The 21,635-nt window shown below is 45.5% G+C and overlaps 1 protein-coding gene across 1 annotated transcript in view; it reads left to right on the top strand.

Annotated features, from left to right (window-relative positions):
- Nucleotides 1-21,635, top strand: part of HYDIN (HYDIN axonemal central pair apparatus protein) — a 428,639-nt gene that overhangs the window by 328,001 nt on the left and 79,003 nt on the right. The window contains exons 53-60 of the mRNA NM_001270974.2: nucleotides 1,520-1,718; nucleotides 6,642-6,741; nucleotides 8,174-8,273; nucleotides 10,193-10,361; nucleotides 10,838-11,076; nucleotides 13,018-13,135; nucleotides 18,598-18,802; nucleotides 19,827-20,062. Of these exons, the coding sequence (NP_001257903.1) occupies nucleotides 1,520-1,718; nucleotides 6,642-6,741; nucleotides 8,174-8,273; nucleotides 10,193-10,361; nucleotides 10,838-11,076; nucleotides 13,018-13,135; nucleotides 18,598-18,802; nucleotides 19,827-20,062 (1,366 nt within the window). The remainder of the gene's footprint in view (nucleotides 1-1,519; nucleotides 1,719-6,641; nucleotides 6,742-8,173; nucleotides 8,274-10,192; nucleotides 10,362-10,837; nucleotides 11,077-13,017; nucleotides 13,136-18,597; nucleotides 18,803-19,826; nucleotides 20,063-21,635) is intronic.

Raw genomic sequence — 21,635 nt, 5'->3', positions numbered from 1 at the left:
CTTAAGCTGGATAAATATAGTTATAGCCCAAGTCTTGCCACTAAATCTGTGACTTCGGGGCCATCAATTAACCTCTCTAAGCTTCAGGGATTTTTTTTGTTTCGAGACAGAGTCTCACTCTGTCGCCCAGGCTGGAGTACAGTGGTGCGATCTCGGCTTGCTGCAACCTCTGCCTCCCGGATTCAAGCGATTCTCCTGCCTCAGCCTCCTGAGTAGCTGGGATTATGGGTGGGCATGTGCCACCACACCCAGCTAACTTTTTGTATTTTTGTTTTTAGTAGAGACAGGGTTTTGCCATGTTGCCCAGGCTGGTCTCAACTCCTGAGCTCCGGTAATTCACCCATCCCAACCTCCTGAAGTGCTGGGATTACAGGCTGAGCCACTGTGCCTGGATGTTTCAGGTTTTTTATAGGTCATCTGGGGTTAATAATATCAACTCCACCTATTTTATATAATAGATTAATAACCAAGAAATAACACATTAAGTCAATACATTAAGTCAAAGTTTAGTCCAACTACTTAAAAGCAGAAATTAAGAGAAAATCTTGAAAGCAGCCAGGATAAAATGAAATACAATATGACTGACGCTTCATCAGTAACAAAGGAAGCTGGAAGACAATAGAATGGCATTTTTAATGTGCTAAAGGAAAATACGGTTGACCTTTGAACAATGCAGGTTTGAACTGGGTGGGTCTGCTTATATGTGAATTTTTTTTTCAATGAAACACAAAGTAAAAATATGGTAGACCTAAATAAAACAATTCGAAAAAGGGTTAAGAAATGTTGTTCAGCACCCACACATGAAAGAGAAACTGCAATTTTTAAAAATCATATGCTTGGCCGGGTGCAGTGGCTCACGCCTATAATCCCAGCACTTTGGGAGGCCGAGACGGGCAGATCACGAGGTCAGGAGTTCAAGACCAGCCTGGCTAACACAGTGAAACCCCGTCTGTACTAAAAATACAAAAATTAGCCAGGCATGGTGGCGGGTGCCTATAATCCCAGCTACTCAGGAGGCTGAGGCAGGAGAATTGCTTGAGCCTGGGAGGCAGAGGTTGCAGTGAGCCGAGATCACACCACTGCACTCCAGACTGGATGACAGAGCAAGACTCCGTCTCCAAAAAAAAAAAAAAAAAAGAAAGAAAATATATGCTAAGTATTATGGCCATTATCCTTAGCAAACTAATGCAGGAACGGAAAACCAAATACCCCATGTTCTCACTTGGAAGTGGGAGCTAAGTGATGAGAACCAGTGGGCACAAAATGGGGAGCAACAGACACTTGAGGATGCTTGCGGGTGGAGGGTGGGAGGAGGGAGAGGAGGAGAAAAAATAACTATTGGGTACTAGGCTTAGGACCTGGGTGATGGAATAATCTGTACAGCAAACCCCCATGACATGTGTTTACCTATACAACAAACCTGCACATGAACCCCTGAACCTAAAACAAAAGTTAAAAAAAAAACACATGAAACTACAAAATTTGAAATGAAATTGCAACTTTCCTTTTGTCTCTGCAGACAGGAATCCAGGGTAGTTCTTCTCCGCAATGTCACGCTCCTGCCTGTGGCCTGGCGGATCACCAGCCTGGAGCACTTGGGTGATGATTTCACTGTATCCCTGATGCAGGGGACCATCCCCCCTGAGGCTGAGTACGGCCTGCACCTGTACTTTCAGCCCACCAAGCCTGTCAACATCAAGAAGGCTATTCGGTTGGAGGTGAGGCTTCACACATCCACAGACTTGGTTATCAAAGCATGTACACACACACACACACACACACACACACACACACACACACACACACAGAGGTCTCCCTGTTACATGCTCCTATCTGATCCCCTTTCGATATCCCCAGTCCACAATCTCTTGCTGTGCACACAACTGCAAGCTCCATAGAGGCAATATTGCTTATGGCTGATTCCCCAGTGCCAGGAACAGAGCAATCAATGTGGAAGGAAGGAACAAATAAATGAATGAATGAATGAATGAATGAATGAATGAACAAATGAACAAATGGTGTTGCTATACCTAGGTAAGCATCAGAGTCCTGATTTCACACTCCTAAACCCAGTCACCTATCGGATTCCTATCTGGGGAAATGTCACCCTCCACCCTGTTGCTCCCAACAGACACCTGGGGATCAGCCTTAATTCCCCCTTTTCTTAATGGCCTCCCTTCCGACGCAGGCCTCCAACAAAGGTTGCTAATTTTACCTCCCAATGTATCTTTTTTTTTTTTTTTTTGAGATGGAGTCTCGCTCTGTCACCCTGGCTGGAGTGCAGTGGTGTGATCTCGGCTCACTGCAACCTCCACCTCCAGGGTTCAAGCAATTCTCCTGCCTCAGCCTCCAGAGTAGCTGGGACTACAGGCACGCGCCACTACACCCAGCTAACTTTTTGTATTTTTAGTAGAGACGGGGTTTCACCATGTTGGCCAGGCTGGCCTCAAACTCCTGACCTCAAGTGATCCTCCTGCCTCGGCCTCCCAAAGTGCTGGGATTACAGGCATGGTGCCTCCCGATGTATCTTTCCCATCCACTTCTTTCTCCTCGCTGTTGCCACCACCTTGTCCAGGCCACCTGCAGCTTCTCTCACCTGGACTTCTACAGAGGTTTCCTAACTGGCTTCCCTGTTGGCATTCGCCACAGTGTCCAGAGGGATCTTTACAATGTCATTCAGACAGGTTATGCCCCACCTAACGCACTCTCCTGGCTTCCCACTGCAGTAGGAATAAAGCCCGGGGTCCTCACCTGCCTCTGAGACAATGCCTGCCTCCACATCGCAACTTGCTCCACCCTCGCCCTCAATCATTGGCTCCCACGCACTGTCTTGGCTGTTTCTTGGCTCAAGCCACTGACCTTGTTGCAACCCTGCTGGGAATCTGCCCTTAGGCTCCAGCTTTAGGGTCCCCCAACATTGCTGTTTCAACTGGGCTTCTCTAATCATCCCTTTGAGAGAATCCCTCTTACGTGCAATAACCCACCCCGTCTTCCATCCTTCAGAGCACCACCTCTTCCTAACATTATCCTGCTTCTTTCTTTACTTTCTTATATGAACTGCATCAGGGCAGGATCTCACCTGACTTAACATCTGTCTTAGTTCCCCAAGGCTACTACAACAAATTAGCATATACTGGGTGACTAAAAAACAGACATTCCTCTCTCACCGTTCTGGAGGCGAGATGTCCAAAATCAAGGTGCCGGCAGGGCCATGCTCTCTCTGAAGGCTCCAGGGAAGAACCCTTCCTCTCTCTCCCCTTCAGCTTCTGGGGTCTCCTGCGAGTGTTCTCAGCTTGTGGCTGCATCACTCCAGTCTCTGCCTCTGTCATCATCACAACACCTCTTCTGTCTGTGTCTTCTCTTCCGTCTCTTATAAGAATATTTATCATTGGATTTAAGGCACACTCAGATAATCTAAGACGATCTCATCTCTAGATCTTTGACTTAATTAAATCCACAAATACCCTTTTTTCCAAATAAGGTCATATTCACAGGCTCCAGGAGTTAAGAAGTAGACATACTTTTTGGGGGACCACAGTTCAACTCCCCATACCATCATATTCCCAGTGTCTAGCATGGGATTGGATGAAGTAGGCACTCAGCAGAATCTAATGAATGAATGAATGCCATTGAGTTTTAGTACTTGAACTAGGCCGGGCATGGTGGCTAACGCCTGTAATCCCATCATTTTGGGAGGCCTAGGTGGGTAGATCACTTGAGGTCAGGAGTTCAAGACCACCCTGGCCAACATGGTGAAATTGCACCTCTAAATACAAAAATACAAAATTACAAAAATTACAAATTACAAAAATTAGCCGGATGTGGTGGCGCACGCCTGTAACCCCAGCTACTCGGGAGGCTGAGGCAGGAGAATCACTTGAACCCTGGAGGCGGAGGTTGCAATGAGCCAAGTTCGCACCACTGCACTCCAGCCTGGGCAAGAGAGCAAGACTCTGTCTCAAAAAAAAAAAAAATACTTGAACTGATTCTTTGACATTCACGGGATCATCCCAGCTTCTCTTTGAATGCTTCCAGGAACACAAAATTTACCACTACCGCTTAAAGCAGCCTGTTCTGCCTTTAAACAGGTCTGTCAATTCTTCTTTGGGTTGAGCTCAGAATTCTTCCTGTCAATTACATGCATGAATCATGTTTCTACCTTTTGGGGCCACTCAGTGGATCTAATCTCTCTTATCCCTTATCAATGACAGCCCTTCACTGAAAGGGCTGAAAACAGATATTGATAGATTCATTCACTCCATGAATGTGTAGAAGCCCAGAGGTTCTGGTCAACGCTTTTAGCACCAGCCTCTGCACAGGCACAGAGCTCTGCACCAGGTACCCAGACCCCTGGCTGGTGTAGGGCCTGGAGTCCCACAGCTGTGCCAGCTTCGTCCTCTAGTTGCTGGATCATGGGGAGTCCAGGGGTTCCTGTGGTGGGGATGCACAGGAGGCAGGCAGCAAGGGGATATTGGAGAGGTCATCATGACAGCTGCTTACCAACTGGTACAGAAAGGCTTTTGTTTTTATTATTATTTTGTTTTATTTTTCTTGACACAGGGTCTCACTCTGTTGCTCAGGCTGGAGTGCAGTGGTGCAATCTCAGCTCACTGCAACTTCCACCTCCTGGGCTCAAGCAATCCTCCCACCTCAGCCTCCTGAGTAGCTAGGACCACAGGCGTGCACCACCACACCCAGCTAATTTTTGTATTTTTTGTAGAGATGAGGTCTTGCCATGTTGCCCAGGCAGGTCCCAAACTCCTGAGCTCAAGCGATCTGCCCCCCTTGTCCTCCCAAAGTGCTGGGATTATAGGCGTGAGCCACTGCAACCGGCCACATTTTTGTATTTTCACAACTGTTGTGACCATCTCCATGTGTCCCAGCCAAACAGCAGCCTGATTAGGGCTCTGAACAAAGCAGCGTGGAACTCCGTAGAGCCCCGCAAAGTGAACTTATATTCACTTCCACATCCACAGAAGGAAATGCCTTCATCTCCAGTCCCTTTTGAAAGCCTTTGGTGAACTTGTTTTATTTCATCTGTATAACTCTTCAATTGTCCTTCCTATTTTCCTCAATTCAAAATTCAGCCTCCCCACTGCCTCCGACCCACCCTGGGGAAGCCGAGAAATAGAAGGCTCCAGGCACTTGGCATCCCTCAGGAGGGAGGCACTACACACATCCTGTCAGCCCACCTTGTCATCTGTCAGAGGGCAAGCAGTCAGAGAAAGAAGGCGAAACTCAAGTCGGTCCAGTTTGCTCTGTGAAACATTGGCAAGCATCTAATGAAAGAGAAGATGGAAATTCTGAATTAAAACTTGAGTTTGGTGACAGCTGCAAATTTCCTTCTGGCACCCAAAGCACATGCAATAGGGAGTGGGTGGCTTGGGCTTTCAACTGGAGCAGAGACAGAGGTGGACTCCCCAGAGCAGACCCAGGAGAGCTTCCCCCACTGCCCCCCAGTTCTTTTCCTGGACAGATGGACCCTTTACCGCCTCCTAGTTAGCCTCAAGAGGCAACAGTTGGTTCATGTCATTTACCCACTTTTTGATGGGATTATTTGGGGATTTTTTTGTTGATTTGATTGAGTTCCTTGTATATTCTGGATATTAGTCCTTTGTCAGATGCATAGTTTGCAAATATTTTCTGCCATTCTGTGGGTTGTCAGTCTAACCATTTGTACCCCCAAAAGCTATCAAAATAAAATATATGTATATATAAAGAAGAGGGAAAAAAAGAGTCAGCAATCAGGTCAGGCTGACAGCTGCAGCAGTTTAGAGGTGCCAGAGAACAATGAGGGAGGGACCATCCCCAGGCATGACAACAGAGGGGTCCACGATATTCACAGAAATAAAACATTGGGTATTTCCAAACATTAAACACTTGCTTTCTACGAAAAGTCTAGCACTTTCCCCACAGGCTGAGCCACAAACAAAGAACAGAACGATTCAAATTTATAAAATGAGTAGAGCAAGGATGACCTGGAGCATGAAGGTTTTCCATTTCAACTGTCAGGGCAGTGCTCACTAGGTTCATTTGATTTAGAAGTTAAAAAAAAAAAAAAAAAACAGTTGGGCATGATGGCTCACATCTATAACCCCAACACTTTTGGAGGCTGAGACGGGAGGATTGTTTGAGTTCAAGAGTTCAAGACCAGCCTAGGCAACATGGTGAAACCCCATCTCTATAAAAAACAATACAAAAATTAGCCAAGCATGATGATGCACTCCTGTAGTCCCACCTACTCGGGAGGCTGAGATGGGAGGATGGCTTGAGCCCGGGAGGTTGAGGCTGCAGTGAGCCGAGATTGCGCCACTGCACTCCAGCCTGGGTGACAGAGTGAGAGCCTGCCTCAAAAAAGAAAACCACTTTCCTGTAATGTCTACCCCAAGCCCAAACTTCAGTAATGTAGCAACAATAAAAAAGTCAGTCCCTTTTCCCCATTCTTGTATTCTTTGTACCAGCATTCCCCAGAGTATTAAGAGGAGCACAAATCCTACCAAATGCTTGGCGAAGATAAAATACCTACAGGGGAATACACTTCAAAACGTTCCCTGCCGTATCCCCGTTAGGATATTACATGTTTCAGGCTCCAAGCACCTATAGGTCTTGCTTTTACTGAAGACTTTCCCTTTCCCTGCCAGGTTTTAGATGCAGAAAATCTTCTTGGTGTTGTTCAGATTGAAAATATCATGGTCTTTGCAGAGGCATACGACATCGCCTTGGACATCACCTTCCCCAAAGGTCTGTTGGGCCCTTCAAGGACAGGATGTTTGGAAGTTGGGTCTTTTGTATAGTGTATTTCTGTGTAGAGAAAGGCTAGTGTGTTGTTAGTATTGCAGGGATTGGGCATGGGGCAATTTTAATAAATAATAATGTGAGCCCCAGAGTGATATTAGCAGCATGACTACAAATCGTAATTTCTCCAACCAGAGGTAGAAAGCGGGTGGTCATAGGTGTAAAATTTGCAGAGCTCTTTTCAGAGCAGTCATTTACAGTAAACACCTCTCCTCTTTCCTGTATTAGTTTTCTATCACTGCCATAAAATGTCCCCATAAGCTTTCTGGCTTAAAACAACACAAACATATTGCCCTACAGTTCTGGAAGTCACAAGTGCAAAATGGGTCTCACTGGGCTAAAATCAAGGTGTCAGCAGGGCTGCCTTCCCTTCTGGAAGCTCTGGGGGAGAATCCATTTCCATACCGTTTCCAACTCCTAGAGGCCGCCCACATGGTCCCCTTTCTCCACATTCAAAGACAGCAAGGTTGGGCCAACTCCATCTCACGTTGCCTTTTCTCTGGTTCTCCCACCCTGCCTTCCTCTTTTGCTCTTAAGCCCCCTTGTGATTATATTGAGCTGACCAAGATATTCCAAATTAATCTCTGTATTTGTAGGTCAGTGAATTAATTCCATCTGCTTCTTTAATTCCCCTGTGCCATGTAAGGTAGCATACTCACAGATTCCAGGAATTGGGAGGTGGGGCTGAGGCTGTTATCTGTCCCTGCACTGCCCTAACACCCGAGTTTCAGCTCTCCCTTTAGCCTACAGCTCTGCATTTCCCTCCTTTCCCCAAGAGGTCTCCTCAGCAAAACTCATAGAATGTTAGAGCCACGTGTTTAGATGTCATGAGTCTCATGTACAAAGATCTTTTATTGCAGCATTTTTTATAACAATGAAAAGTTGGAAAAACCTAAATGCCCATCAATAATGAAATAGTAGTATTGTAGGAATAATATCATGAATTATGGAACCACCATATCGTGGGATATTATGCAGCCACAAAGAACACACTTATGAGGAGTTTTTAATTATTTGGGGGAAATGCTTATGAAGTAATACTAAGTAAAACAACATAAATATATGTGTAATATCCCAACTTTATGCAAGACTTTTTTAAATACTGAAAGTTTTAGCTGATGGTAGACATGAAAGGCAATGATCCTAGGATGGAGGGAATCCAGAGGGACCAGCCCTGTAGAGTGCATCAAGAGCAGCATCTGTTGTTTGTTTGCCCAGATTCAATTATAAGAGGCTTTTCTAGCCACAGTACTTTCAGAAAACAAATTCTCTTAAACTGTCACCATGCGTTTTCCATGTGAATTTCAACAGGCACTTCCCCTGCTTCCCACTCTCATGCCCATTCACCCCTCTCTGCCCTGGCCCCTGGTCTCTGCAGGAGCTGAAGGGGGACTGGATTTTGGGATTGTCAGGGTCACAGAGGAGGCGAAGCAGCCCCTGCAATTGAAGAACCGTGGGAAATATGAGATCGCGTTCAGGTAACTGGAATCCCATCAGATGTAAGGCCATCAAGTCCGCCGTGGGGAGGAATGTGGGGAAATATGAGATCGTGTTCAGGTAACCTGAATCCGATAGGGTTTGCGGCCGTCAAGTCCACCGTGGGGAATAGCGTGTCTGGGAAACTTATCAGTCAGTCAAGGAAATCATAAGAACCGTCTCTGCTTTTTTGCCTCCCTTGGCTTCAAAAGAATGGAATTCCACCTGCTAAGGGAGCAGAGATTCTCACACTGCTCTCAACTCTGCAGCTTAACAGGGGCCTTTAAGTGGCCCGGATGTACCTGGCCAGTTGGAACCATAGGTGTCTGGGAATGGAGGAAGAGACTTAGGGGAAGAGGCCGGGAGGGGGAGATTCTAGGGGTGAGAAGAGGTCCCAGGGTGGAGGGAGAGACTGGAGATGGGCGACCTGGCCTCAAGCTGTCCTGCCTTCTGCCAGCTCTTATCTGCTTTACAAGGAGACCTTCTTCAGCAGATTTCATGTGAAGAAAGGGCTTTCCTTTTTCATTACATTCTAAGAATCATGATATTGTACAATCCAAATAGTAGCTTGGTAGAATAGAGCTCTGGCTTGTGCTCATCCCCTGAGATAAAAAATGAAACACAGAGGCTGGGTGTGATGGCTCATGCCTGTAATCCCAGCACTGTAGGAGGTGAAGGCAGGCAGATTGCTTGAGCCCAGGAGTTGGAGACCAGCCTGAGCAAAGTGGCAAGACCCCCCTGCCTCTACAAAATACAAAAAAAGTTAGCTAGGCGTGGTGGTCATATCACTTGTAGTCCCATCTACTTGGGAGACTGGAATGGAAGGATCGCTTGAGCCCAGAGAGGTCAAGGCTGCAGTGAGCCGTGATCGTGCCACTGCACTCCAGCCTCAGCAACAGAGCGAGACCCTGTCTCAAAAAAAAAAAAAGAAAAGAAAAGAAAAGAAAAAGTAACACAAAATCAGGGAGGCTCCTCAGCAAGGAAAGGGTGGCACACGGGAGGAGGGAGGGAAACACCCCTCAGACAGGGCCACACAGCCCTTCATGGCAGTGCCCACACTTTTCATTCCATGGAAAGTTCTCCTTCCCCAAGAATTCACAGATGACAAAGAGACTTTTCCCCTGTCAGTTTGGAATTAGTGCTAAGTGGAATCTTGCCTGTTGGTGAGTTTTCTTTTAGATTAAGACAGGGGCATTAGCTGTGCTCTTTGAGGTTGCATGGAATGGAGTCACTCTCAGGTTGGAACAGGTGATAGAGGGTTTGTTGAAAGAATGCGCAGGGAAGCAAGGAAGCACAGGGGTGCAGGTAATTGGGCAGCCAGGGTCTCCTGGAGCATGGCGGTGACATTCAGAGCCCCACAGCAACTCCGGGCATCCCACCTCTGCCTAGGTGGGATACATCTTGAGCCTACGGCAGTCCCTCTGCCGGTCTCATGAGCCAGCTTCTTCCTGTGGTTCTTGCCTCACCTCCAGTAGGCCATGGGCTTCCCTCCCCAGTACCTCTGTTACAGGACCCCTGCCCCCTCCCTGCTGTCTCTCTCCCCAGGTTCTCTGGTTTCTGTGTCACTGTTCGCTCTGCATGTGCTGAAAGCCAGACAGACACAAACAGAGAAAGAGAGAATTAATTTAGATGGTCCTTTTTCAATATCCAATGTCCCTGTTGGACAGAGATCTCCTGCAATGGCCTCTCTTGACCATGGGATAGAGTATGGCTGTCTTTGCCGTAAGCATCAATTCCTAGCCTGGTCAATCCTGGCTAAGGAGAGGCGATCACGATGTACAAAGCACAGTGGACTCCGCCGGACGTAGTGGCTAAACAGGGCTGGAAACACAGCAGGCACTCAACCATCTAGAGTCTCCTCTCTGGGATCTTGAGTTCCCGGGATAATGACCTAGGCTGACTTCTTATTCTTGTCTTTCAGCTTTTCCGTGGACTCTGTAGGGATTTCAACACCTAATATAAATTCCATGATCTCAGTCCAACCCAAAAAGGGTTCACTGACCCCAACAGAAAAACCCACAAATGTCCAAGTTTTCTTCCATGCAAAAAAGGAAGTGAAGATTGAGCACCAGCCTGTTCTGCGCTGTCAGGTAAGAGAGCTCCAAAGGGAGGGGCTGCCTCAATGGCAGGATCGTACGACTCCTGTTGCAAAGAAGGATACATGACCTAATCCATGCTCCAGGGAGAAAAGGGGAGGGCTGGCCTGGGTGGCAACCAGATAGGATACACCGGGGTTCTGTCCTAACTATCAGGCAAAGTCATCAGAATTAGATCCAGTGAGGAAATGTGCCCCCAGGTCTTTGGGGAGCATCAGAGGCAGGGAAGCTGAGTCCCATCATCAAGTGCAAAGGATGAGCAGGGAACTGAAAACATGAGGAAAAGTTGGCTAAGTTGACCCTTGGCTGGTACACAGTAAGCTCTGTTTTAGTGTTCGCAATAATACGAAGACAGTGAAATAAAGAACATGGCTTCATGTCAATGATGAAAATAGGGAATGGGGTAGATAATCATGGGAATTCTGTAGCTACAGCAGTGGCTGACTTGCTCATTCTTCTTCCCGTTTTAGATTATTGAGCCCAATATTTCAGAAGGAGGTGAGATCATTGCCAGCATCCCAATTAAGTTTTCCGCGAATGCAGTATATTCCAAATACAACATCACCCCCTCCTCTGTCATCAACTTTGGAGCTTTGATCTGTGGCACTCGTAAAAGCACCACCTTCACCATAGAAAATCAAGGTGTTACTGACTTCAAGTTCGCCCTTTATAAGCTGACAGGGGAGAGCCCCATTCATCAAAAGAAAGCGTAAGACAAATATTTACTTAACTCATTCCATTCCCTCTTTAATTTATGCTTTATATTTTATAAAGAGCTTTCGTATATCTTACTTAAATTCACCCAATCCCGTTTTGTGGGTGAGATCAGTAAGATTTAGAAATGGCTCATTTAGATTATGCACAAAAGCTGGGCGCAGTGGCTCACACCTGTAATCGCAGCGCTTTGGGAGGCCAAGGCGGGCAGATCACCTGAGATCAGGAGGTCGAGACCAGCCTGGCCAATGTGGTGAAACCCCATCTCTACTAACAATACAAAAATTAGCCAAGTGTGGTGGCACATGCCTGTAATCCCAGCTACTCGGGAGGCTGAGGCAGGAGAATCGCTTGAACCTGAGAGGCGGAGGTTGCAGTGAGCCGAGATCGCGCCACTGCACTCCAGTCTGGGCGACAGAACGAGACTCTGTCTCAAAAAAATAAAAAATAAAAAAATTTTTTTTTAAATACTATACACGAAATCACCAGTAGATCTTGGTGTGAGCCCACATCTTCTGACTCCAGGTTTCATAGATTTCCTGTAGAATATATCATAAATTTTAGTTGAACAAACACAGTCTTCTGCCTGGAATTTTGTCTGTTGTCCTGGTGCTCCTGGCGTGCTGAAGGACTTGTTAGATCATTGTCCTATGTGTCATTCTGTACAACGCCAAGAAATTATTATCATAGGAAGCTAAATCAAAAGAAATCGTAGCAGTGCTTCATGGTGGGGCTGCTCTGGAAGCGTGGAAGAGAGGAAGTGCGGTGATGCCTTCAGCCTACCAGGGACTATTATTGTTATTGCCTGTTACTATTATTGCCTTCTCCCCATGAAGACACCGTCACAAAGCTACCTTAATAGTTGTTCCAACAGCAAAACTCCATGTTCTTCAAAAGGAGGCTGTCAATCAATTCACCCAAAACAATTTGTCTTTTGAGTGCTTTTGGCTTCTACTGGGCTGCCATACTCTTTTTCGGGCAAATTAAGGATGGTTTTTACCGATTCCTGAGGCACTTCTGATTTAATTTTGACTTTCTAGTTAATTCTTTTAAATAAGATGTATGGCTTTACATTGTAGTTGTTTTATATTTCTGTAGCTATTCTTTTCTGTTTTGACAAAATTTGAACATTTTTTAAAATGTAGAGTTGAATTGTGTAAAGTCTCTTTCTTCCTAGTTTAATTTCAACTGAATTTTTTTACAATTTATAACAATGTAATGTCTATAATGATTATGACTTAATTCTGTTTTGCTTTACATTGGTTTTTATTTATTTGTTATTTTAGCATGCACAAGTTCATACAAAACACACGAAAGGGGGTTGAACTTCACGTGTTCTGGTCATTAAGCAAGTGAATGCTTGAATATATAAAATTCTCAAAAGTTTAAGATGCATTTCAGATACATTTGAATATTTTAGGTGAACTGGTCTCTAGGCAAACTAATTATTGGATAAACTAGTTTCAAGGCAAGTGAACAACTACCAAGACCTATATTTGAACTACTGCTTATACTAAACCTTAAAAACATCACAACTATAAATGTGAAGATACAGAAAAGAGCTTAATTTATTTGCCATTTCATTTTTTAAAATCAGATTAAGTAAAACATTTGACATCCACAAGTAATTTTCTGCACACTGCTTTCCAGTGAACTCAAGTAGGCATTTAAAACTTACTATCTTCTTGCAGTAATTTTCGGTGTCCCTATAAATCATATTTAATAAGTATAATTACCGCCTAGTTTCCTTACAGTTGCTAAATGAGTTTGGTCAGTGATTAACTAGCTAACTATGCCACTCCAGTGTCCTCTTGGGCAAAGAAGGGCCCCTTCCCCCATTCCTGGGAGAAGGGCCCTTGCAAGAAAACAGACAGGTGGTGTCTAATGTTACCCCCGACCCCACAATCTAAGGGTATACTCTTGCTTCTTTAATCAGAGCCAGCCACGTCAGACATGCAAGATCCCGAGAAAGTGAGAGCTTCTACAAAACTGGCTCTTCCAGAGCAGCCAAGTTCTCTGACACGATTCAGAAAGAAGTAACCACCACAGGCCAGGTGCGTGTCCTTTTCCCTGTTCTTACAGATACCCAGTAAGGCCAACTCCCAATTAGCTCTTGACACCAAATACCTCCCTAGGATAACAGGATTTGAATCCATCATGGCAGGAATATGAAATAATTATACTGAAATGTCACTTTCATTTTAAGCTAAGATGTTATGACCTTTAATTTGGATATCCTCTTTTGCTTTAAAACCTTCATTGGCTTGCCACTGCCTTAAAATTGTTTCTACTCTTCATATGTATTTTAATCAAGAATAATTTGCTTATAAGAAAGAGAAGCCCATTCAAACAGGCTTAAATAAAAGGAGATTCAAGGATTTCTGCTTCTGGTAAGATCAACTAGATGTACTTTTCCCTATTCTTCCCAACTAAGTACAACTAAAAACCCTGGGCATCATGTATAAAACAGACTTCAGACTCTGAAAGGTAGAGAGAAGAAACCAGACCAGCCCCAGGGACTTTGGGACCCAAGGAAGATCAAGGTGGTGAGTTCCCAAGTTTTCTTTTTGCCTCATATCTCCCAGACTGGGTGCTGAAGCAGCCAGCAACCCTAAAACATCAACAGACACAGACAAAAAGAAAGCCCCAACAGAAGCCTACTCCTACTTTCTTTCTGCCTTTCTAGGTTGCCCCTAGAAAGACAGAAAACTTCTAGACAGTAACCAAAAGACAACAGTTAACCTAGAAAGACAGAAAACTTCTATATAATAACTGTTCTACCACAGCCAAACACCAAAGAAAAATATTTGGTCCCACGCCACCTCTGCTAGCAAAGGCCAAATAGAGAGTCTAGACTCCACCCTCTCCAAGCTGTCATGAGGTGCCCCACCCCCTTGCCAGGGTGGCGTCGGAGAAGGTCGAATACCAAGCCGAGATTTTCATTCCCATGGGTGGTAACAAGTGTCCCCCACCACCTCCTGTGCTGTTTGTGGAGATACCACATGGGGAACCATGACGTCCACCCCAACCTAGTGATAATGAGACATTCCCCCATCCCCTGCTGGAATGGTGTCAGAGGACCCCTCCATCTCCCATGGCATCAACAGAACAGTAACAGGCACTCACCAATCCCCACCAGGCACGTATCAGTTGAGGACTAGTGGAGAGCTGGGACACCCACCCCTGCCCAGCAGGAATGATGGGTCTGAGTGGGGAATCTGGACTACTGCCCCCATCTGGCAGTAGCAAGGCAGTATACTACCTTCCCCTGCCAGGGCAGTGCCAAAAGAAAGCCAGCCCAAACAGAAGATTTAAATCAGATCCCAAGTCTCATAGCATAACACCCAAAATGTCCAGGTTTCAGTTGAAAATCACTCATCATACCAAGAACCAGGAAGAACTGAAACTGAAGGAAAATAGATAAATGCTAGATGACAACACTGAGATGAGAGAGGTGTTAGAATTATCTGAAAATGTTTCAATGAGCAATTATAAGCATGCTTGGAAAATTTTTAAAATAGTATGTCTCAGCAAAGACAGAAGATGTAGAGAAGAAGCAAATGGAGATTCTGGAATTGAAGATAAATAAACAAATTTAGAACTCAATGGATGGGCTCAACAACACAGAGGGAACAGAGGAAAAGAATCAGTGAACTTGGGCCAGGCGCCGTGGCTCGTGCCTGTAATCCCAGCACTTTGGGAGGCCGAGGCAAGCGGATCACGAGGTCAGGGGATCGAGACCATCCTGGATAACACAGTGAAACCCTGTCTCTACTAAAAATACAAAAAAATAGCCAGGCATGGTGGCAGGTGCCTGTAGTCCCAGCTACTCGAGAGGCTGAGGCAGGAGAATGGCATGAACCCGGGAGGCAGAGTTTGCAGTGAGCTGAGATCGCACCACTGCACTCCAGCTGGGGCAACAGAGTGAGACTCCACCTCAAAAAAAAAAAGAAAAGAAAAGAATCAGTGAACTTGAAGACAGACAATAGGGATTCCTGTGTTTGTTTCTTATTGTTCTCACAACAAATTACCTCAAATTTAGAAGCTTAAAGTATTACACATTTTTTATCTTATAGTTCTGTAGGTCAGAAGTGCTAAAATCAAGGTGTTGGAAGGGCTGTATTCTTTTCTGGAGACACCAGGAAAGAATCCTTTTCATTGTTTTTTTAGCTTCTGGAGGCAGCCCACATTCCTTGGCTTGTAGTCCCCTTCTATCATCCTCAAAGCCAGCAACAGAGGATCGAATCCTTCTCACATCACATTACTCCAACCTCCTCCATAGTCATATCTCCTTCTAACTCTCTTCCATTTCTAAGGACCCTTGTGATTACATTGGGCCCATTATAATCCAGAATAATCTCCTCATCTCAAGGTTCTTAATGTAATCATGTCAACCAAGTCCTTTTGCTGTATAAGGTAACATATTCACAGGTTCCAGAGATTAGGATGTGGACATCTTTCGGAGGCCATTATTCTGCCCAGTCTAAATAAAAGAGAGAAAGTAGACTCTGTTTTGAGTCCCTTGAAAGTCTATTTAAGTCTAATGAGAAAAAATGAATTGATGCTCAGGGATCTGTGGAACCATAACAAAAGATCTAAAGATCTAATGCGCTTGTCATTGGAGTTCCAGAAAGAGTTACAAAAGAGGGTGGGACTGAAAATATACTCAAAGGAATAATGACAGAAAACTTTTCAAATTTGGCAAAAGATGTAAACCTACAGACTCAAGAATCTGAGCAAACCCAAATAGGAGAAACCAAAAGAAATCCTTACCAACACACATCATAGTCAAACTTCTGAAAATTAAAGAAAAGAAAAAAAAATCTTGAACACATCAAGAGAGAAATGAACCTTGAATGACAGCAGATTTCTTACAAAAACCATAGAGACCCAAAAGAAAGTGGCACAATATTTTCAAGTGTAGAGAACCAATAACTGTGGACCCAGAATCTTATATCCAGCAAAAATATTTCTCAGGGATAAATGGAAAATCGACTTTCTCAAATGAAACAAAGCTAAAAGAATTTGTCACCAGTAGACTTACCCTATAAGAATGGCTAAAGGAAGTTCTCAAAACAAAAAGTAAATAACAGAAGATAAAATCATGGGACATCAACAAGGAAGAAAAAAACATGGTAAGCAATAATGTAGGTAAATTCAGTAGACCTTACTTCTCTTCCTGGGTTTTCTAAATTATGTTTGTCAATGGAAGCAAAACTATATAATACTGTCTGATATGGTTTTAAATGGATGTAGAGGAAATATTTTAGACAGAGCGGGGAAAGAATCAGTGAACTTGAAGACAGACAATAGGAATTCTTTATAAAAAGCAGGTGAATGAGCAGTTGTTAAGCAAGATGGTAAATACTATAATTGAGGTGCGTGTACTATAACTGAGGTGCATGTACATGGATAGACTCTAGAAAAATTGAAGAACGAAGTCTTGCTGTTCCGGGTAGCTGTGAAGAGTCATTGAAGGCTTCACAGAGGAGGAGGTGCTTGATTTGTGTATCAGAATCACGTTTGGCTGCAGATAGCAGAAAATCCAACATTAGTGGTTTAAACAAATATGGCATATTTAAATGGGGTAGGCAATTGCTGATGTTGGTTTAATAGTTTATTGTTGCTTGTGATTCTGTTGGCCTTTCCCTCATGGTTGCAAGGTGGCCTCTGCAACTCCAGCCACCACCTCTGCATTGAAGGCAATGAGAGAAGCAGGTATTCTGCACTCTATGAACAGCAATAATTATTGATTGAAGTGAACTGGGTTTTCTACATGTTGGTTTTTATGTCTTTTCAAGTGGTTTCCACTTGTCAAGCAAAGGCTTCTATTTCATTAACAAACATAATTTTCTACATATGTTTCTATAACTCTCATCTCTTCTACAGATTTTTTTTTTCCTTCTTTGCCTACCATATCTTCTCAGCCTTCAGTGAAACAGCCTCTCCAGCACTCTGCCTTTCAGTTGCAATGAACTTATCCTCTCCTCTACATTGGCAACTTATTTTAATGGTCAGAGCCTGGATCTTACATCACAAGAAACTGAGGTGCTTCTGAATCCTTGATTTCCAAGACCTCTTTCTCTGACTGCTTCCATCTCTTCTAGCTTTCTGCTGCCTCAGTTCCGCTCATTTCAGCTGTTCTTTGCCCTCACTATGACCTTGCTCCTTTGAGACAACATCATGCCATTTTCTACTATTCTCCAACCTTCTCTTCTGTCAGGATGGTTTATCTGGGAATCACCAGTGCCCAGGACATCTCCTAGCACATAGTAGGTATTCTGTAAATAGTGACCAAGTCAGTTAATAGCAGCTTCCGTGTATGTCTGTGCAGTCACACTGCACAATGCTAGGGGCTGCATCCACACAGATGCCTGTGTGAAGAGTGCCACTAGACTCAGCACTGATTTCTGCTGTGGTTCCTAGATCTGGCAGGATGTCCTTCACAAACCCCAGCTGCCAGAGGTTTTGCACAAATCCAACTGCCAGGGTATGAGTCCAGTGCAGCAGAACACTCACACAAGTCACGCAAAGCAAGTTATCACTCACGGATAGGTAGCAAGAACCAACAGAAGACTCATATTCATGGACAGCTGGTCCCCCAAGGCTCAAGAAAGCTGCCTCGGATAGATGAAGTCCTGTCAATGCATGCCCCACTTCACACTGCAGCTGAAGCACACCAAAAGCATTCTGCCCTGGATTTTGTGCTCCAGAGGAAATGTGGATCTCTGAGCTGAAGCACTGCAGGACATTCTGTTCTAGGAAAGATGAGAACAGAGCCTGGGCTGTTCCAGACCCTTCCCTTATCTCAGGCCACTGCATTGTCAGCACATTCTACGGTCATCCGGAAAACTACAAGCAGGAGAGAGAAGAGCCGGGACATCTAAGGATTGCACCAACATCCTGTTTTGTTTTGTTTTGTTTTGTTTTGTTTTGTTTTGTTTTGTTTTGTTTTGTTTTAGCACTAATTCCATACCAGATGCTATGCTACATGCTTCACACCTGTTCTTTCATTTAAACCTCCAGCAATCTCTGGGGTCGGGGCTTTAGCCCCATTTTATAGATAAATAAACTGAGACTCAGAGAAGTCATTTGTTTAAGGTCAAACAGTCAATATTTAGCAGGGCTGGGATTCAAACCCAGGCGTGTGTCACTCAAAGGCCCATAACCTCACCCACTACGCCATTCTGCACCCCTCTGCTTCAAGATGCCCAGCTGAATAAGTGCTATATGATGTGGAGTCTATCTGTTCCTTTAAACCCTTAGTTCAAACATGATTGGTCTAAATGAATTTGCATAGAAGGAAGCACTGAGAGAGCAACCTATCACTGAAGACCCCCTTCCCATCCCTGGCCCTCTGTCCCTCCAGGAGGAGAGGAAAGAGGGCCCAGAGAGTGCCTGTGAGAAGAAGCCCCACGTGTCCCTCCCCCTCTCCACACCATCTAACAGCCCCCATAGTCTGGCTGTCACTCACTCTGCCTCCAAGCCTCCTATCCCTCCCACCCTTGTCCTGCAGGCCCGCTTCGCCCATGGCATGTTCACCGTGTACCCTGGGTTTGGCTCCATTCCTTCCGGAGGACAGCAGGTCATCAACGTTGACTGTGTGGCTGACGCCATGGGAAAGTGTGAGGAGTTTATAGCCATCGATATCTCCGGCCGAGACCCTGCAGTCCACCCTGCCGGCATTCTTTACACTTTGCTAGCTGAAGCCTGTCTACCAGGTACTGACCACTCACATTGGACAGCACCACTTAAAAGGTGTTCATCTGAGACCTGGTGCAGTGGCTCACGCTTGTGATCCCAGCACTTTGGGAGGCCAAGGCGGGCAGATCACCTAAGGTCAGGAGTTTGAGACCAGCCTGGCCAACATGGCAAAACCCCGTCTCTACTAAAAATACAAAAAATTAGCTGGGTGTGGTGGCACATGCCTGTAATCCCAGCTACTCAGGAGGCATTTGAACCCAGGAGGTGGAGTTTGCAGTGAGCCGAGATCACGCCACTGTACTCCACAACAGAGTGAGAGTCTGTCTCAAAAAAACAAATACATAAATAAAAGACCTTCATCTGTAACACTTCTACCTTCTTTCTTGCAAGTTTTTCCAAAGATTTCTGGCAGACATGGCTGGGATGCTTCCTTCAGGGTCCTAGAACTTGCTCTAGTGTCTTCAGTTGTATTTTTCCAGGGCATATACCTAAGGGAGGAGGTGCAGCTTCACACTCCCAGGAGGCTGGTCCTGGATTCCCAGATGAATAGTGTTATCTGAGAATCATGATGGGATGGGCTGTGGCACAGGACCCAGGAGCACTGAGTCCCGCTCATGGCCAGGCCACTCCCGGTGGGCAACATGTCCACAGAGAACAATGTTCAGTTACTGAGCATGCAAAATCTGTAACCCAGCAGGAGGGCAGATGAGGTGCAAAGAGAATGCCTCATGCTTTGACGATAGGATCCCTGGAGCCTTGAAGCATAGTGGGCCAGTTGCCTCCTTCCCTCCATAGCACACCCCAGATCTTGGATCTTACCATTGGGAGAAAAATGCTCACTGGAGTGTGGCAACCAGCAAGGACTGTACAAAAGAGGAAGACAAGACAGAATGTTTCCCATCCCTCACACCCCCTTGCATGACTTCGCCTATGTGTCCTCCACAATTCTCCTTTGTGAGAATCCAGAGTTCCAAATTAGGAATCACAGAGTGGGAATCCAGCAATCAGGCAGCATCTCATGGTCTCCCCTTCACTCCCCAGCCTTCGTGACCGAAAACAATGCCTTGATATTTGAAGAGCACCAGATATGTACCAGTGCCAACCTGCACCACATCCTGCAGACCATAGAGAGCGGGGGGCTGTTCGTCGAGGATGAGAACAAGTTCATCTTCTGCAATGTCCTGGTGGGCCGCCAAGCCAAGGCTCGTTTCAAGATCAGCAACGTGGGAAAGATCACCTGTGATGTCAACATTGTAGTCAGGCCTATCTCCAATAAGGTAAGACGCTCCCAATGGCCCCTGGCCCAGCGTGGTTCACATAAAGCTGGAAAAAGGGCTCTCAGCATCCTCTGCTCTGGAGCCTGTATGCGTGAGTGGAAATTATCTGGCCCTGCTGGAAGTTATGTGAAGTAACCGGGGGCTTTCCCCTAGGCCAGTGGTGATACATTTGTCCCAGTGGGTGTCTCCTCCGGGTACCTTTGTGATAAGTACGCATGGACGAGCAAACCGCATTCCTCCATTGAATGCTCACTATGTGCCTAAAATAGACAAAGCATGGTGGGGAGAGGCTAAGGTGAGTGCCAGCTCCAGACAGGCCTACCTCCAGCTGCATATTCTGCTGGTAAGGGAGATTTGGGGGCATCAGATTCTGAGGATAAGGTGAAATGATGAGCATGTTTTAGCCCTTCCCATGTGACAAGCACTGTGCTAAGTGATTTATATTTACTGCCTCCTTTTGCCCTCACAACAACTCTTCCGACTTTGTATTATTATCCCGATTCTACAGTTAGGGAAACTGAGGCTTAAAAAGCTAAATCCTTCCCCTAGGTCCCAGAGCCTGAGAATATAGGGCTGGGCTTAAAGCCAAGCTTCATCCACATACAAGATGAAATAATTGCCCATCTCAGGGGGCTGCCAGGCTCGAAACTGCCTTTTCTCTCTGAGTCAGATCATACTTTTTTTCACAGCAGAACAGAAAATTCAGGATACCAAGAGAGGTCTTAATCAGTGGGTTTCTGTCACCCTTAATTTCCAATCCAATGTGTGGCAAATACTCTAGTTTTATGAAGGCTGCTTCAGTTCTCTGCCTGAAAGTAGAATCTGGGCCCAGGAGGTCCTCAGGCCCCAGAGCTGGCATTGTTCACAGTTGAGGGTGGTGGGGAGGTCACCAAGGGTGTTGGTATCAGCCTAGAGCTACATATGGAGTGTGCATTCCTGGGGAATGTCAATGCAGAGAGGTATGGTTGGGGAGACTACATAATCCGTTTTATGACTTCCTTCAGGCCCTGGTGACTCCCAGTCATTATTCTCTGAGTTTTTTTTTTTTTTTTGAGACGGAGTCTTGCTCTGTCGCCCAGGCTGGAGTGCAGTGGCGCAATCTCAGCTCACTGCAAGCTCTGCCTCCCAGGTTCACGCCATTCTCCTGCCTCAGCCTCCCAAGTAGCTGGGACTACAGGCACCCACCACCATGCCCGGCTAATTTTTTGTATTTTTAGTAGAGACGGGGTTTCACCGTGTTAGCCAGGATGGTCACGATCTCCTGACCTCGTGATCCACCCGCCTCGGCCTCCCAAAGTGCTGGGATTACGGGCATGAGCCACCGCACCCGGCCTATTCTCTAATCTTATTTGGGATACTAAGGGGCAGCTTTCTTCCTCTTCTGTACTAAAAACATAAAAAGTGAGGAAGACTGATTTTTTTTTTTTTTTTTTTTGAGACAGTCTCACTCTCGTTGCCCAGGCTGGAGTGCAATGGCGCCATCATGGCTCACTGCAGCCTTGACTTCCTGGGCTCAAGTGATCCTCCCACCTCAGCCTCCTGAGTAGCTGGGACTACAGGCACGCACCACCAT

This window comes from Homo sapiens, chromosome 16 (assembly GCF_000001405.40).
Source record: "Homo sapiens chromosome 16, GRCh38.p14 Primary Assembly".
Lineage (NCBI taxonomy): Eukaryota > Metazoa > Chordata > Mammalia > Primates > Hominidae > Homo > Homo sapiens.
This window is presented reverse-complemented; position numbering and strand designations above follow the sequence as displayed.